Source organism: Homo sapiens, chromosome 1 (genome assembly GCF_000001405.40).
Source record: "Homo sapiens chromosome 1, GRCh38.p14 Primary Assembly".
Taxonomy (NCBI): domain Eukaryota; kingdom Metazoa; phylum Chordata; class Mammalia; order Primates; family Hominidae; genus Homo; species Homo sapiens.
This window is the reverse complement of record NC_000001.11, coordinates 202,244,273-202,262,987: the sequence shown is the minus strand read 5'-3', so window position 1 is coordinate 202,262,987 and position 18,715 is coordinate 202,244,273. Positions and strand designations below refer to the sequence as shown.

The 18,715-nt window shown below is 45.4% G+C and overlaps 1 protein-coding gene across 18 annotated transcripts in view, besides 1 other annotated feature; it reads right to left on the bottom strand.

Moving 5' to 3' along the window:
• Window positions 1-18,715, bottom strand: part of LGR6 (leucine rich repeat containing G protein-coupled receptor 6) — a 125,963-nt gene that overhangs the window by 56,774 nt on the left and 50,474 nt on the right. Inside the window, exon 1 of one of the 18 annotated variants that reach the window (XM_011509842.3) lies at window positions 14,740-16,053. The exons of the other annotated variants lie outside the window; for them this stretch is intronic. The gene's annotated coding sequence lies outside the window, so the exon portion shown is untranslated. Of the gene's footprint in view, window positions 1-14,739; window positions 16,054-18,715 lie in introns of those variants that run through there. 18 annotated transcript variants of the gene reach the window in all.
• Window positions 10,797-10,866: an enhancer, noted in NCBI's record as "active region_2334". NCBI's record gives its function as "activates an Ori minimal core promoter by ATAC-STARR-seq in GM12878 lymphoblastoid cells {active_cell/tissue: GM12878}" and the evidence as "EXISTENCE:reporter gene assay evidence [ECO:0000049][PMID:35858748]".

Genomic DNA, 18,715 nt, shown 5'->3' with positions numbered 1-18,715 from the left:
AACAGCATAAAATAAAATAAAATAAAATAAAATAAAATAAAATAAAATAAAAGGCAAGTTTCAAAGACAAATTGAAGTGTAAATGGAACTAGGTGAGATATGGGAAGACTGCAGGGGAAGTAAATTAAAAAAGCAAAATTCAAATTTGCATTGTAGGTGATAATGAGTAGACCTGGCCCAGCAAAAAACTGAATTAGCAATGGGGAGAATAAACATGAGACACTCTCCTTGAAGTCAGAATAAAAGGACAAAGGGGCGAAGATTATGGAAATAAATATGAGATAGATAGAAACGAGAACTGAATTTGAATTTGAGAATCATAGGTATTCCAGAGGATTAAACCCAGAGTGAATGGAGCAGAAGCACATGATAGCTGTAACTGAAAGAAAACATTACATACGGAACCAAAAAAGAGCCCGCATTGCCAAGTCAATCCTAAGCCAAAAGAACAAAGCTGGAGGCATCATGCTACCTGACTTCAAACTATACTACAAGGCTACAGTAACCAAAACAGCATGGTACTGGTACCAAAACAGAGATATAGATCAATGGAACAGAACAGAGCCCTCAGAAATAATGCCACATATCTACAACTATCTGATCTTTGACAAACCTGAGAAAAACAAGCAATGGGGAAAGGATTCTCTATTTAATAAATGATGCTGGGAAAACATATGGGCTAGCCATATGTAGAAAGCTGAAACTGGATCCCTTCCTTACACCTTATACAAAAATTAATTCAAGATGGATTAAAGACTTAAATGTTAGACCTAAAACCATAAAAACCCTAGAAGAAAACCTAGGCATTACCATTCAGGACATAGGCATGGGCAAGGACTTCATGTCTAAAACACCAAAAGCAATGGCAACAAAAGCCAAAATTGACAAACGGGATCTAATTAAACTAAAGAGCTTCTGCACAGCAAAAGAAACTACCATCAGAGTGAACAGGCAACCTACATAATGGGAGAAAATTTTCGCAACCTACTCACCTGACAAAGGGCTAATATCCAGAATTTACAATGAACTCAAACAAATTTACAAGAAAAAAACAAACAACCCCATCAAAAAGTAGGCAAAGGATATGAACAGACACTTCTCAAAAGAAGACATTTATGCAGCCAAAAGACACATGAAAAAATGCTCATCATCACTGGCCATCAGAGAAATGCAAATCAAAACCACAATGAGATACTATCTCACACCAGTTAGAATGGCAATCATTAAAAAGTCAGGAAACAACAGGTGTTGGAGAGGATGTGGAGAAAGAGGAATACTTTTACACTGTTGGTGGGACTGTAAACTAGTTCAACCATTGTGGAAGTCAGTGTGGTGATTCCTCAGGGATCTAGAACTAGAAATACCATTTGACCCAGCCATCCCGTTACTGGGTATATACCCAAAGGACTATAAATCATGCTGTTATAAAGACACATGCACACGTATGTTTATTGCGGCACTATTCACAATAGCACAGACTTGGAACCAACCCAAATGTCCAACAATGATAGACTGGATTAAGAAAATGTGGCACATACACGCCATGGAATACTATGCAGCCATAAAAAATGATGAGTTCATGTCCTTTGTAGGGACATGGATGAAATTGGAAATCATCATTCTCAGTAAACTATCACAAGGACAAAAAACCAAACACCACATGTTCTTACTCATGGATGGGAATTGAACACTGAGAACACATGGACACAGGAAGGGGAACATCACACTCTGGGGACTGTTGTGGGGTGGGGGGAGGGGGGAGAGTTAGCATTAGGAGATATACCTAATGCTAAATGACAAGTTAATGGGTGTAGCACACCAGCATGGCACATGTATACATATGTAACTAAGCTGCACATTGTGCACATGTACCCTAAAACTTAAAGTATAATAATAATAATAATAATAAAAAGAAAACATTAGAGCTGAAAGAATAGTGTAGATTTAAGATGTTTATTGTATCCCAAGCAAACTAAGTGGAAAGAATACCTCAACACATTCTGGCAAACATTTCAGTTGTAAGGATAAAGAAAAAAAATCTTGTAAGCATTCATAAAGAAAAAATATGCTCTCCTTGAAAGAATAAAATGATAAGGCTGACCTCAGAATTTCCTGGCACACTGCATGTCAGGGGGAAATGGAGCCTTATCTACAGGATTCTGAGAAAAATAGATTGTGATCCAATAATTTTATATTGGCCACAAAAAAATATATTAGTTAGTTGGCCACAAAAAAATATATTCTCAACTATATAAAAGATCAGAAATACAGTTGCCATCTGTTGTTCTTGGGGGAAAAACTACTTGAAAATATACTACAGGCAATCAAGAGAGATAATTTTTAAATGAAGAACTCAAGAATGGGGAATTTGGCAGAGCACGGTGGCTCATTCCCGACACTTTGGGAAGCCAAGACAGGCGGATGTCAGGAGTTCGAGACCAGCCTGGCCAACATGGTGAAACCCTTTCTCTACTAAAAATACAAAAATTAGCTGGGCATGGAGACACATGCCTGTAGTCCTAGCTACTTGGGAGGCTGAGGCAGGAAAATCACTTGAGCCCGGGAGGCAGAGGCTGCAGGGAGCCAAGATTGTGCCACTGCACTACAGCCTGGGCGACAGAGCGAGACTCTGTCTGAAAAAATAAAATAGTCCAGGAGCGGTGGCTCACACCTGTAATCCTAACACTTTGGTAGGCTGAGACGGGCGGATCACCTGAGGTTAGGAGTTCGAAATCAGTCTGGCCAACATGACAAAACCCCATCTCTACTAAAAATACAAAAATTAACTGGGCGTGGTGACACATGCCTGTAATTCCAGCTACTCGGGAGGCTGAGGCAGGAGAATCACTTGAACCCAGGAGGCTGAGGCCGAAATCAAGACACTACACTCCAGCCGGGACGACAGAGTGAGACTCCGTCTCAGAAAACCATAATAATAATAAAATAAAATGAGATAATGGGGAATTCTTCTTGGCTTTTACTTCCAGGCAGGATTGGAGTAGCAGTTGTTTTTGCCTCAAACAAGTGAAAAGCAACAGGTTTGAGGCATTGGACAACAGGCAGCGCAGGACCGTGATTGCTGACAGCCGGGAGGCACATTCTGTGAGCCTTATGATTGGCCAGGCTTTTGCCTGGAGAGGGTGTCCAGGCTGCAGGACAAAGAGAGGGAACTCAGGCAGAACTTGTGTTCACTCTAAGTTGAGGAGATAGCGTGCAGAGTTCAGGGAAGCCAGGGTGGCTAAAATTTGAGGGATAGAGTACCTAAAAGAGAGAGGGAGGGAAAGGGGGAAAGAGAGATGGGAGGAAGGAGGAGGAGAAGGCAAGAAGGAGAACAATGGAAACATCAATTAAGCCTTTAAAAAGTATAAAACATGATAGACGTGAGACAAAGCATCATTTACATCTTTCCAGGATACAACTCATTTTCTTAAAATAATTTAATATATTAGCACAGATGGAAAAGATTTTGATGAAATGGATAGTTTTCAGGAAAAGATAATGCTCAAAACTATCTAAGAAGTAGAAAACCAAAGAGATCAAACACTAAAGAAGAAATTAGAAATGTTATCAAAGAATTTGCTCTTCAAACACAGGTTCTGGGGCCAGGAAATTTGTCAGTAAATTTTTCCAAACTTTCAAGTAAAAAATAATTTTCATGCTCTATAAATTGTTCCAGGGATAGAAAAAACTGGAATGATACTCAATTCATTCTTGGAACTCAGTTTAAACCAATAACAAAAGTGATCAAAGAGAGCACAGAAAACAAGCTATAGCCCATTCTCATTTATGAATATTTTATTAGGATGTACATATTGTAATTACAATACTGGCAATAAAACACAGTAAGAATAGTCTACCACCATCAAGATGGGATTATCCAAAGAATACTGTGATGTTAAAATAATAAATTCTATTATAGTATAATGGGTTTAGTATATATAACCATAATATATACTAAAAAAACCACTCAGCAACATTTAAAACTTCTAATTTAAAAAAATGTAAAATATTGACACAGAGAAATACTTTCTCAACATGGTAAAGTCTATTATCTCAAAGGATATCCAGTATCAGACTTAATGAGAAAATACTAGAGATCTTCCTCTTAAAATCCAGAACAAGATAAATATGTTCATTGTCATAATTGCTAATAGTCATTGTTCTGAAAGCTCTAACGCATAAGACAGGAAACAGAAATAAGAGGTATAATTATTACTTACAAATAATATTAGATATCTATAAATTCCAAGAGAATCAATGATAAAGCCTTAAGATTAATAAGAGAATTTAATAAAGTGATCAAATACAAGATGAATGTATACACCTCAATATTTTCCTAAATTCCAACAATAAATAAAAGAGACAATGATGAAAATACCCCCTTTACATTAGCAATAGCCACCAAAGAAAGCTCATAAACAAACACAACCCAATAAATATCATGGAGTAATTCTAACAAGAAATGAGTCATTAATGAAAAAAAACAAAAACTATAAAAATATTACTGAGATACATAAAAGATGTTTTGAATTAAGAGAAATAATAAATCTTGTAGGAGAAGACTATATTTTTTAATTATGTAAAGCCTCTACAAATCAACTTATAGACAATGTAATTCCAATTAAGATCCCAGTGGGACATTTTTGGCAGGAAGTGACGGCACCTTCATAAAATAAAACTAAAGTTCATGTCATATAATAAATAGATGAGCAAAATATAAGAGAAAAATGAACAGGGACTGCTCCTATTAAACATTAGAAACTTAATAAAAATCCGCAAAGAAATTATTATATCTAGTAAATGAGTACAGCAAAGCTGCAAGATATAAGATCAATATATATAAATCAATTGGATTTCTGTACACTTGCAATGAGTATTCCAAAAAAAGAAATTAAGAAAACAATTCCACTTAAAATAGCATCAATAAGAACAAAATACTTAGGAATAAATTTAACAAAAACAGTGCAAAACCTATACTCTCAAAATGACAAAACATTGTTGAAAGAAATTTAAAAACACCTAAATAAATCGGAAAATATCCCATATTCATGGATTGGAAGACAATATTGTTAAGATGGCAATACTCAACAAATTGATCTACAGATTCAATGCTACCACTATCACAGTCCTAGTGGTCTTTTTTCAGAAGTTGACAAGCTGATTCTAAAATTTATATGGAAATGCAAGGGAGCAAGAATAGTCAAACCTTGAAAATAACAAAGTAGGAAGACTCACCCTTCCCAATTTCAAAACTTATTACAAAGCTACAGTAATGCAGACCATATAGCCCTATATGGTAAGGATAGATATGTAGATCAATTGAATAGAATTCAGAGTCCAGAAATAAATTCTTACATTTATGGGCAATTGATGATCAAGAACAGTGCTAAGACAATTCAATAGGAGAAAACAGCATTTTTAAAGAATAGCATTTGGGATGACAAAAATGTTGTGCTGGAACATGTGGATATCTACATGCAAAAGAATGTAGCTGGACCTCTAGCTACATTGTGTATGTATGAACCATATTCAAAAATTAAAATGGTTTAAAGACCTAAAACTGTTAAATCCTTATAAGACAACATAGGCATATATCTTTCTGACCTCGGATTAGGTAATGGTTTTTTAGATATAACACCAAAAGTACAACAAACAAACCAAAAAATAGACTAATTGGACTTCATTGAAATTAAAAACTTTTGTGCTTCAAAGGATATGATAAAGAAAGTGAAAAAGACAAAAGACAGAATGGGAGAAAAACATTTTCAAACCATATATCTGATAAGGGACTTATGTCAAAGGATATGATAAAGAAAGTGAAAAAGACAAAAGACAGAATGGGAGAAAAACATTTTCAAACCATATATCTGATAAGGGACTTATGTCTTTAATATATAAAGAATTGTGACAACTCAACAATGAAAAGACAACCCAGTCAGGAAATAGGCAAGGGATCTAAATAGACATTTCTCCAAACAAGATATACAAATGGCCAATAAGTACACAAAAAGATCCTTAACATCATTAATCATCAGGGAAATGCAAATCAGAACCACAACGAGATACCACTTCACACCCACTAGGATGGCTATAATCAAAAAGACATAACAAGTGTTGGCAAGGATGTGGAGAAATTGAAATGCCCATACAATACTGGCAGAAATATAAAATGGTGCAGTCACTTTGGAAAAGAGTTTGACAGTGTTTCAAAAAGTTTTACATAGAGTTTCTATATGACCCAGCAATTCCATTTCTAGTTAGATACCCAGGATAACTGACAACATATGTGTACATAAAAACTTACACACAAATGTTTTTAGCAGCATTATTCATAATAACCAAAACGTGGAAACAGCCCAAGTATCCATCAACTGATACAGAGGTAAAATAAAATGTGGTATATCTATACCAAGGAATATAATTCAGCTATAAAAAGGAATAAGGTGGTCAGGCGCGGTGGCTCACGCCTGTAATCCTAGTACTTTGGGAGGCCGAGGCAGGCAGATCACCTGAGGTCACGAGTTCAAGACCAGCCTGGCCAACATGGTGAAACCCCGTCTCTACTAAAATACAAAAATTAGCCAGGCATGGTGGCATGCACCTGTAATCCCAGCTACTTGGGAGGCTGAGGCGGGAGAATCGCTTGAACCCGGGAGACAGTGGTTGCAGTGAGCCAAGATCGCACCACTGCACTCCAGCCTGGGTGGCTGAGCGAGACTCTATCTCAAAAATAAAAAAATTAAAAAAAATAAAAAAGGAATAAAGTGCTGTTACATGCATAAATATACACATGGATGAACCTTGAAAACATTATGCTAAGTAAAAAAAGCCAGATATTAAAAGCTATATATTGTATTATTCCATTTATATAAAATGTCCAGAACAGGCAAATCCAAAGAGACAGAAAGCAGATTACTGGTTGTCAGGGGCTGGGGGAAGATGAGATAGAGAGTGACTGCTAATGAGTAAGGATTTTCTTTCTTGGGTGACAAAAAATGTTCTAGACTTATTGGTGATAGTTGCACAACTTGGTAAATATGCTAATAATCACCGAATTGCATATTTTAAAAGAGAGAACTTTATGCTGTGTAAATTATATCTCAATTGTTAAATATTTAAAGCTAAAAGTCTTACACTAGTGATGTACTCGCACAATTTTAAAGAGACAATAAACCAGATGCTGACATAATATGTAAAGATTTAATGTATCACAAAGGAAGCATGTGTGTTTGTAAGAGTATGTGTGCTCATAGAGAAATACACAGAAATGTTAACAAGCATTGTGTCTGGGTGGTAGAATTGTGGGTGATTTTTATTTTCTTCTTTTTATTTTTTGTATTTTCTAAATTTTCTACAATGAGTCAGAGCAAAAATAAACATGTTTTTAAAAACAAAGTACGTCAGTGTATAATTAACTCCCAGGCTGTTGGAGAGCTGAGCTAAGGGGGGCCGGCAAGGGAGTGCTCCACGGACTCTGCAGCCTGAGCGGGGAAGGGCGCTGGGGAGGGAGAGACGAGGAGCAGGCAGTGGAAAGGGATTTATTTGCTTCATTTCACCTGCTCTGTGTCCCACCTTTGCCTGGATTTCCTATACAATCAGTCACCAGGTCCTGGTAATGGAATCTCAAGGCCATGCCCGCTCCTCCTGACCCCAAGGCCACTGCTGTGGTCCAGGACCCCTCCTGAAGTGATCTCCTAACTGGCCTCACTTGTGGCCCATGGCAGAAGCTCTGGGGTCCACTATGGACAGCTAGGTCCAAGTGCTTTTCTGGGACACACATCTGTCTCCACGAAAACCCTGTGGTGAACCTCCCTTGCCTGTGAGGCAGTCCTTAGCTGGTCATCAAAAGTCACGGCCCTCTCTGCAGATTTATCTCCTACACACAGGTCTTCCTTCAAGTGGGCAGGCAGACAGTGCTACAAGCACAGGAAGCTGTGTCTGCACCAAACCAAGCTGCCATTCTCTAAAGCAATGTCACACCCCATCCCCGCGCCCCCAATTCGCTGCCTTCACACTTCACTCAGGCTTTTCCCTCCTAGCAAAAACTGTCTTTTCAACTCTTTTCTCTTTCCTTTTTTTTTTTTTTTTGTAGAGACAGAGTCTCAACTATTGTTACAGCCCCAGCTGATCTTCAACTCCTGAGTTCAAGAGATCCTCCCGCCTCAGCCTCCCAAAATACTATCACAGGCATGAGCCACCTCATTCAGCGTCCACCAGTTCAACTCCTATTCTACCTTCAAAACTGGCACAGTGCTGGCACACTCACCCAGCAAACACTTGCTCCTCCCCTTCCCACAGCATTCTGGACTTTGCATATGCACCAGCTATATTTATTCTAGCATGTACTATTTGTGAACATGTCTCACAGCCCTTATTTGGTAACAAACTCACTGAAGGCAGGCACATCAGCACCTGGCATGGGGAAGTGTACAACACAGATCTGCAGAATGCAAACATAATGGAAGGAATGACCCACATTCACTCATGGCAGGGGCAACTCACCACCAGACGGACCATTCCTGAGGTCAGGGGTGGAGGAAGTATCTTTCCCTTCCTGGATAAACTAGTTTTGCAGCAAAGCCTGACCAGAGGTGAGGAACCCCTCCAGTCTATCCTACTCCAGCTCCTCACAGCCAGAGTTTCCCTGAGCTGCACAAAGCATCCTGCCTCAGGCTCCCACCCTGGTGGAAAATGATGATGTGGTAGGAGCCAGTTCTGGAGATTAGTCTAATAAGAACAGTAGGCTGGGTGCAGTGGCTCATGCCTGTAATCCCAGCACTCCGGGAGGCTGAGGCAGGTGGATCACTAGGCCAGGAGATGGAGACCATCCTGGCTAACACGGTGAAACCCCGTTTCTACTAAAAATACAAAAAATTAGCCAGAGGCCGGGCGCGGTGGCTCACGCCTGTAATCCCAGCACTTTGGGAGGCCGAGGCGGGCGGATCACGAGGTCAGGAGATCGAGACCATCCCGGCTAAAACGGTGAAACCCCGTCTCTACTAAAAATACAAAAAATTAGCCGGGCGTAGTGGCGGGTGCCTGTAGTCCCAGCTACTTGGGAGGCTGAGGCAGGAGAATGGCGTGAACCCGGGAGGCGGAGCTTGCAGTGAGCCGAGATCCCGCCACTGCACTCCAGCCTGGGCGACAGAGCGAGACTCCGTCTCAAAAAAAAAAAAAAAAAAAAAAAAAAAATTAGCCAGGCGTGGTGGCATATGCCTGTAGTCCCAGCTACTCGGGAGGCTGAGGCAGGAGAATCGCTTGAACCCAGGAGGCGGAGGTTGCAGTGAGCTGAGATTGGGCCACTGCACTCCAGCCTGGGCGACAGAGTGAGACTTCGTCTCAAAAAAAAAAAAAAAAAAAAAAAAAAGAATAGTAGGACCATCTTGGCCAGGCGCGGTGGCTCACGCCTGTAGTCCCAGCACTTTGGGAGGCCGAGGCAGGCGGATCACGAGGTCATGAGTTCGAGACCAGCCTGACCAACATGGTGAAACCCCCGCTTCTACTAAAAATACAAAAAATTAGCCAGGCATGGTGGTGGGCACCTGTGATCCCAGCTACTTGGGAGGCTGAGGCAGGAGAGTAGCTTGAACCCAGGAGGCGGAGATTGCAGTGAGCCGAGATCGCGCCACTGCCCTCCAGCCTAGGCAATAGAGCAAGACTCCATCTTAAAAAAAAAAAAAGAGTATTAGGACCATCAGTTATCATGCACTCAGGATGTACCTGGCATTGTGCTAAGTCTTCCTATACGTCATCTCATGAGTCTTCAAAACAACCACTTTGTTATTCCTAGTTTATAGATCACAAAACTGAGGCTCAGAATGTTCAGACAATTTGGTTATGATACTTTATCTAGAAATGGCAGAGCTGGTTTTCACAGAAAAGCAGCACTATTTTCAGAGACCCTAAAATCAAACATCACCCTTCCAGCTAAAAGTAGACAGATTATTTGGGCTGCCACAGTCTGGAGTCCCCAGACTGAGCCATGACTCGAGAGTGTCAGAATGTCTTCCTGCTGGGTGCGTTGAAGCCCTCAATTAAGGAGTGTGGTGAGAGTGCCCATGCATGTGCCTGACACAATGCTTGGCACCTAGCAAATGCTCCCTAAGGCTTACTTTCCTTCTTCCCTCTGACTTTCAAGTCTCAAAGCAGTCTGGACACAGTCAGATTCAGGACTCTTGTCAGGGAGAGAAAGGAGACAGGAAGCATACCCATCTGCCATGGGCTGGGCATGGAGCCCTTTCCAAACTTTTCACACCTGCCAAAAGGCTACCATTTAGTGTCCCAATCCCACAAGTCCGAAACCAGATTTCTGGGCAGTACCTAAAGGCTATGTATTGTCAGTGCCCTGTTCCTTTCCACAACCTGAATTCTTGTCAGGTTCTTCTCCATGCCCCTGGCAGCAGGTAGTTGCTGGCAGACTCTGGTCCAGCAGGGCATTTGGCTCAGCTGGTGGCAATCCTGCCACTAATCACCCATGGTACCTTTCACGTACAGGAGCCCAGGGGCTGCACCCACTTTACAGATGGGAAAGCCAAGGCTAAGAGACAAGAAATAATTATAAAGAGTGAGGATGCCTGGCTCTGGTATTTAGTGTTCCCCAGCAGGCCCAGAGTCAGATGGAATTATTCTAGGGGGGCTTCCTGGAGGAGGAGAGGGCTGTATTGATGCAGGCAGTATAGTCAAGGCTTGGCAGAAAGGAAAAGGAAAGACTTCCTAGTCTGAGAAACAGCTTAAGCCAATGCATGGAGGTAGAAGGACAAGTTTGGGGAGGTAGGGGGAAGAAAGGGAAGTGGCTTCGCTGGAGTAGAGAGCAGGGTATAGGGACACAAAGGTGAAAACAGGTATAATTTAGGGGAAGATTTGCCCCAGCTGGTCAGTGGTCTGTGGGCGGTTTCTGATCAGAGGAGTGAGATGACGTAAGTGGTGTCATTTGATGACTTGGAGGAGCCCTGGGCACCCCCTTCACCACACCCCCTCCAACCCATTTCACCTCAACAAAAGGCAGAACTAAGAATCCGGGGACTATTTGTTTGCCTCCAATCTCCCCCTCATCCCCTCAGTCTGGCCCCTCCCTCAACAGTCCTCCTTCTCCCTCCTCTTCTCTCTCTTTCCCCTTTCCCTCTCCACTTTCCCATCTCCTCTCCCTTCCAGGTGGGCTCCCCTCCAGCCCCCCACACTCCAGATGTTCTGAGGGGGGTTTTACTCTAAGGCCCTTCAGGCCCCCAGTTAGCAGATGTGCAGCTGAGAGGCAGGCTAGTGGGGGCCAGGGGAGGATGCTGGCCTGGGGCTGGGGGCAGAGGCAGCTGCATTGGCCCCAAAGGCCTGGTGGCTCCCCGAGGAGCCCAGCAGCCTCATTCCTGTCAGCTGCAGCTGACAGCAGGAAGGAAAGGGGAAATGGCTGGGGGAGTCCTGCCTGGGGAATAGAGCCTCCTGGCTTCCCGGGTGGGAGGGATCTGAGGCTTCCTCTTCTTCCCTCTCCTGCCCCCCATACCCCAACCTGGAGCTCTGGAAATGGTGAATGCCCCTATGTAGTCTTCAATGCTGTACCTGTAGCTCCTGCCTCTCCATTCCCTATGAAGGCTCAGGGGCTGCAGGGACATAGATCATCCTCATATAGCAGGTAATTCTAAATTATGTTATTGTTGGCTGCAGAAGACACTGTATCGCTTTTTTAAAATAACGAGTTTCTTTTCTCATTCCTGTTTTATTTAGGGTGATCCACATACGAGCGTGCAGGCTCTGACAACACACTATCAGACAGTGGAGGCCTGCAGCCTCCTCATACACCTTCTCTCTGTGAATTCACAGCACAGAGAGCCAGTGCTTGCAACTGGAAGCCAACAGCATTGCCTATATCAGGCCGTCATCTGTGATCGTCTCGTTTTAAACCCCTTGGGTAGCTTTCCTGCTTTTACTCCCCCTCTCAGCTCTGTCTGCTATGCCACCTCCCCGAAACACGACAGCAGAGAGCGGGCAGGGCCCTTCTCCCCCAGGTCCATCCTTCCTCAGAACTTCTTGGGTGTTCTGAGGAAGAATGTAGAGGAAGGGGGAACCAGGGAGTTATGGCAGAAAAAGCATGGACTCAGGAATCAGACATACTTGAGTTTAAATTCAAGCTCCAGATCTTACAGATTGTGTGTTACTGAGCAAATTACTTAACCTCTCTGGTCCTCTTTCCCCATTCATTAAAATGTACAATTATAAGCAAAGATCACTCAGTGCCTACTATGTGCCACATATTGTACTAGCAATGGGGAATCCTGAATTTTAAAAAAGGACATCCAGTCTGGGTGTGGTGGCTCACTTCTGTAATCCCAGCACTGTAGGAGGCGAGGTGGGCAGATCACCTGAGTCAGGAGTTTGAGACCAGCCTGACCAACATGATGAAACCCCATCTCTACTAAAAATACAAAAATTAGCTGGGTGTGGTGGTGGGCCCCTGTAATCTTAGCTACTCAGGAGGCTGAGGCAGGAGAATCGCTTGAACCTTGAAAGCAGAGGTTGCGGTGAGCCAAGACTGCACCACTGCACTCCAGCCTCGGTGACAGAGTGAGACTCTGTCTCAAAAAATAATAATAATAATAATAAATAATAAAAATAAAAAATAAATTAAAAAATAAAAAAGGACACTCAGTCTCCAACCTTGTAGAACTCAGAGTATAGAGGGAAACAGGATGAAATAAGAGAATAACAGTAGGATTGCAGGCTGTTCTGGGAGTGCAGCACAGAGGCAGCTGAATGAATCAGAAAAGGCCTCCTTCAGGAGGAGACATTCAAGGTAAGACCTAAAGGATGAGTAGGAGGTGGGAAGGATGAATTAGGATGGTGAGAAGGAGAACTAGGAGCAAGTATATCAGGCAGAGGGAACAGCAAAGCACAGGAGCACAGGCTGCACGCCCAAGAGAACTGCAAGTTACTCAGTCTGGCTACAGCATAGAGTGGGAGGGGAAGTGGTGAGAGATGGGCAGGAGCCAGGTTGTGGGTTGCCTTGTACATTAGCCAAGGAGTTTGGGCTTTGTCTTCAGGATAATTGGGAGCCAACTGAGAATTTTAAGCAGGGGAGTGACATGATCACATTCGTGTCTTAAGATCCATCTGGCTGCAATGTGGGGAAAAGACTGGGGTAAGTCCAGAGTAGAAGCTGGGGGCCTGTAAGGAGGCTGTTACAGCAGCCCAGGCAAGTGATGATGGCGGGCAGACAATGGTGGCCACCAGGAAGTAAGGAAAAGAGGACCTACTCCAGAGCGAACAGGATGTACAGTCACTGGGACTTGATTGATTGGATGCAGTGGTGAAAGAGTTAAGGATGACACCCAAGTCTCCGAATTAGGGAACTAAATGATGTTATTTCTCGAAACAGAGGATGTGGAGAAGGAATATGCATAGGAGATGATGGGTTTACTTTGAGAAATGTTCAGTTTGAAGCCCCGTGAGTCATGCAAGTGGAGATTCCAATAGGCCGTTCATTGTACCAATCTAAGCTAAAGCTAAGACTTGAGAACCATCAGTACACAGGTAGTTACTGAGTCCATGGGCAGATGAGAAACCTCCCAGGGAGAAACTGAAGCAGAGATAGGGCAGAGCTCCCAAAGAATTCTGCCATTTATAGGATGGGCAGGGGAAGAGGAGCTTCCAAGGAGAATCGAGGAGTGACTAGAGAGGAGAGATCTAGGAGAATGGGGTCTCCTTACAGAAGGCACAGGAAGAAAGGACTTTAAGGAAAGAGGAGGCAACATTATCACATGCTCCTATGCAATCAAATAAGATAAGGGCTGGAAAGCACCTTATCAGAAGGGTAAGAATGCTTCGCCTGTAGATGAAGAACTGATGGACACCACTGGTGTGGACTGTGAAGGGGAGGAGAGAGCGAAGTCAGGAGTCGGCTGCAGTGGAGCCTCGGTGAGTGGTACTGGTGGCCCTGCTGCTGAATGGAGATCAGCCTGAGGAAGGTACCTGGTATCTATCACGCAGGAGATGCTCAAAGAAAGTTTCTTTCCTCTTTCCCTTCATTCCAACTCCTGCCTTCTCTCCTCTTTCCCAACTGTGGTGCCTCGGCTCCCAGGATAGGGAGGGGGCCAGGGTCACCTGTGCTGATGGTCCTCTGTGGCCTCCAGCCCCAGAAAGGTGCTGCACTCCCCACTCACCAGGCAATAAAGGCAGGACACCTTCTGGAGAAAAAGTGGAATTCTTCTAGGAAACATGGGGAGGGCAGAGAGAGCTGGACTTGTCCTTTTTCCTTGGGGAAGAGATTGCTTTGCGAGGGGACAGCAATGATGTCCTCTCTGTGGGCTGCCAGGGCCCTGAAGGCACTGCAACCTTTCAGTGACTGCCACGCCACGGCAGCACATCCCCCCAAACACCATGGGCCTCGCTCCTCCCTCTCCATAGTCCAGACCCCTCCCAGGACCCTCAAAGTCCTCCAGACCAGGCCTTGCTAGAGTCGTTTAAGGGAGGGCAAAGGAAGGAGCTGGCTCCAAGTCTCAAAACAGGTGTCAGGGTGGTGAGGGGAGGGAAGCGACTTTGGCGAGAGTCCCCCGGATGGGGTCACATTCCAGAACAACTGCTCTTAGAGCCATCTGGTTGCAGTGGTCACAGAGGCTCATAAATAGATCATCCCCTTCCAGAGCCAAAAAAGCATCTGCAGGCCTGGTCTGGGTTCCAGCTAGCTGCAGCGCTGCCACTGATTCACTGGGCGACACTGGGAAGTAACTTCCTCTTTCAACTGCTTGGTTTCCTCACCTGTAAAAGAGTCAGTTGGACTTAGTGACCTCCATGACGCCTTCCAGCCCCAGTATTCTAAGGTCCTGTGGTCTTAGGAGGGCAGCCTCCACCCACGCAGCCTCAGCCGGTGGCCAGGGAAGGAGCCTGGTGTGCTTGCCGCCTTTTCCGGTTGCTGTGTGGATTTTCACCCTCCAGCGAGTGGCTGGCAGACACCTGGGCTCCAACAGCTCATAAACAGATGGAAAATTACTCACACGCTCTCGAAAAAGATCACACTTTCCCAGCCCCCGACCCTTCTTCTCTCATCAGGATGGCTGAGGCGCTGGGGAGGAGGAGGGGGCAGGCAAAGGCTCCAGGGGTGTGGCCAGTGGAAGGCTGCTGCAGGCCACAGGTGCTGGCTCCACTCTTCCTGGCTGCAGCCTGAGCCTTCTCTTACCTCTCTGGGATTCTCTGAGGATACTCCCAGAAAACGTCATGATGGGATCAGAGTGAGATCGTCATACACTTTCTCCTGCCCCCAGGCCAGGTGAGGAGAGTGTGACTCTAATGTACCTTCCCAAGAAGATACTCTAGCCTTTTCCCCTTTGTGTGGTATAGACAGCTAGGATGTTCTTCCCAAAGTCTAACCTTTATCTGCCCAACTGCATCGCCCAAAAGGTTATCTAGTACCTTTCACTGCCTCCAAGTGGGTCCACAACCAAACCAGTCTAAACCTTAACATTTACATCCCATGTGTACAAGTGACTGCGGGGGTACAAAAAAGCGGTTCTAAGGGTTGGAGACTTTCTGCAGAAAGTCCTTAGGGCCTAGGGGACAGACCTATGGACAGCTGATAATGATTGCTGTCCATCTCAGCTGAGGTTGGGAGAGGGCGCAGAATGTCCCAGAAGCTCCTGAACAAAAGAACAGTGATTCCCAATTTTGAATTGCATACTAATCCCCTGGGGGGTGGAGGGATGGGTCCTGTTAAAATGCAGAATCTGCGTGAGCAGGTCTGCACTTATACTCCCAAGTGACGCCGATGCTGCTGACCAATGAAGCTCACTTTGAGTGGCGAGGATTGGAGCAGTGGCTCCCAAACCTAGCTGTGCATCAGAATCACCTGGGAAGATTTTTTAAAAATCCAGATTCTTGGGCCCCAGCCCTGAAGATTCCAGTTCACTAAGTCTGAGAAGGGGCCTGGGGATCTGCACTTTATAGTTTCCCTAGTGCTGTGAGGTAGACAGCCTTGGGAACTAGACCTCAAGGGTCCCTCACAGCTGCCCTTCTGCACAGTCTAAAGTCATGGCTAACAGCATGCATGAACTTTGTATGCAGATGAACCATTTTACCAACTGATCAATTCCCTACATCCTCACTTCCTCATCTGTAAAAAAAGGATCACAGGACCTCCTTTAGAGGCTTGTTGCAAGGAATGAGGTAGTCTGCCAAGGATTAGCCTAGAGCCTGGTAACATAGTAAGCACTCACCAAACATTAACTACCAATATGATTTTTATTACACACACTGGGCTTCACCCGGTTTTCATCATTTTAGTCAATTCTCTTTTAGCTTTTATATACATATTTTACATCATGTTTGCTTGCACTGACTTTTCTGTCACAGAATTTTAAGTGCACAGAATGGGAGAATGTATGGGAAGGGAAGGATGAAGATGGGGTCTTGGTGTATCTAATATTCCTACATCAGACCAAGAGCTGCTGAAAAGGCAGGGCCCTTGTTTTATTATTTATCTCAGTATCTCTTGTGTTAGGCATTTCAAGCACTCGTCAAAGTTTACAAAAACAAACAGATGGACAGACAGATGGGGGGATGGATGCATGGAGGGATGGATGGAGGGACAGGGGATGGATGAATGGATAGATGAAGGGAGGGAGGGAGGGATGGATGGAGGGAGGGGGGATGGAAGGAGAGAGGGAGGGAGGGATGGGGGATGGATGAATGGATGGATGGATGGATGGGTGGAGGGATGGAGGGATGGGGGAGGGAGGGAGGGAGGGATGGATGGATGGAGGGATGGGGGATGGAAGGAGAGAGGGAGGGAGGGATGGGGGATGGATGAATGGATGGATGGATGGATGGGTGGAGGGATGGAGGGATGGGGGAGGGAGGGATGGGGATGGAGGAATGGATATATGGATGGAAAGAGGGACAGAGGGAGGGAGGGAGGGATGGGGGATGGATGAATGGATAGATGAAGGGAGGGAGGGATGGATGAATGGATGGATGGAGGGAGGGAGGGAGGGACAGAGGGAAGGAGGGATGGGGGATGGATGAATGGATAGATGAAGGGAGGGAGGGATGGATGAATGGATGGATGGATGGATGGATGCATGGATGGATGCAAGGATGAATGGATGGATGGACAGAGACACACCAATAGTTCGGTCTCCTCTTCCCTCCTGACAGACCCAGAACTCAGGCCAGGGCTCTGCACTGGCATCAGCTGCTCAGGAAGGGGCAATAATACAAGAGGAAGGAGAGCTGAGGAGAAAGCCTGCCTCTGTCCTCTCCCCATGGGGGAGGGATCACCCACCTCCTGGTCCCGACTGGGGGCTTAATTGCACCTACACCAAATCTGAGCTATCAGTTCGCAACACCCGGGGTACTCTTGCCTCAGGCCTCTCAGGCCTTGGCCTGCTTGAGCTCTGTGGGGCGCAGAGGGCAGGAGTGGCCCAGTCAGAGGAGAACATTCTGGCCCAAGAAAGCCCTAGCACCATAGCCAGAGAGGGCTAGCAGGAAGGCTGAGGAGCCCCACAAGTCTGAGCTGAGGTGTTCCCGCACTGCTCCTGGGTGGCCCGACTTGGGCCAACTCTGTCCCAGACCGGCATTTACGGCTGAAAGAATCACCCCTGATCCCCTGGCCCAGCCCACCACGAACACTCTCCTAGCATCTCTCAGGAGCCAAATTACCCATGTTCAGACCCTTGAGGGCTGCAGGGGGCTGCCTACCCGCCCACCCACCCACCTCAGAGCAGCCTCTGCCCCAAACGTATGTGGTAATCAACTCCCGGAACCTTGGGAAGATCCAAATACAGTAGCATATAATCACGGAGCCCAAAATAGCCATGCCAGGGAGGCCATCTGCCACCTCGTGCGTCCCTGGGGACCCCTCGGCTGGGCCCTACAGCACAGCTGGGCCTTAGGGCCCTCTGGCTGGCAGGCAGGATGGGTGGTGCCAACAGGGTTCACTAGATCACCTGCACAGCTTGCAGGCAGATTTTGGCGGGGAGGCTTTTCCACAGCAGACGGCACCTTCAGGACAAGGCCTTAGATGAGAGCACCCCAGACCTCTGGCCTTGTTGCCCCTGTTGCTCCCTTCTCCAACCAGCTGTGGGCCTCACTTGGCCAGATGCCCCCATGGTGGGCACAGCCGGCTCGTGACTACTGCCCACTCTAACCCTCCTGTTTTTCTTCCTGACTCTAGCCTCAGCTTCTTACCCCCAAGTGCTCTCTCACAGGGTCCAGGCCCACTTTCCCTCCTCGCCTTGTAGTGGGTGAAATGGAGGCCCCAGAAGATATACAACTTCCAGAACCTGTAAATGGGACATTATTTAGAAAAGGGGCCTTTGCAAATGTATTAAGGATCTTGGGGTGAGATGGTCAGGATGATCCAGGTGGGCCCTAAATCCAATGATAAGTATCCTTATCAGAGACCACAGAGAGACACAGAGAGAAAGAGGAGAAAGCTACGTGAAGGCAGAAGGCAGAGACTGGAGTGATGCAGCCACAAGGAACGCCAGCAGCTGCCGGAAGCTGGAAGAGGCAAAGAAGCACCCACCCCAGCACCCTCAGAGGTAGCGCAGCTCTGCTGACACCTTGGTTTAGAACTTCTGGCCTCAGAACTATGAGTGAATGCATTTCAGTTGTTTTAAGCCGCCCAGTTTTTGATGTTTTGTTAAGGCAGCCCTAGCATACCGATACCACATCCTTTTCTTCTGTAACAGTGGTCCTTAATTTTCAGTGTGTGTCAGAATCACCTGGAGGGCTTGTT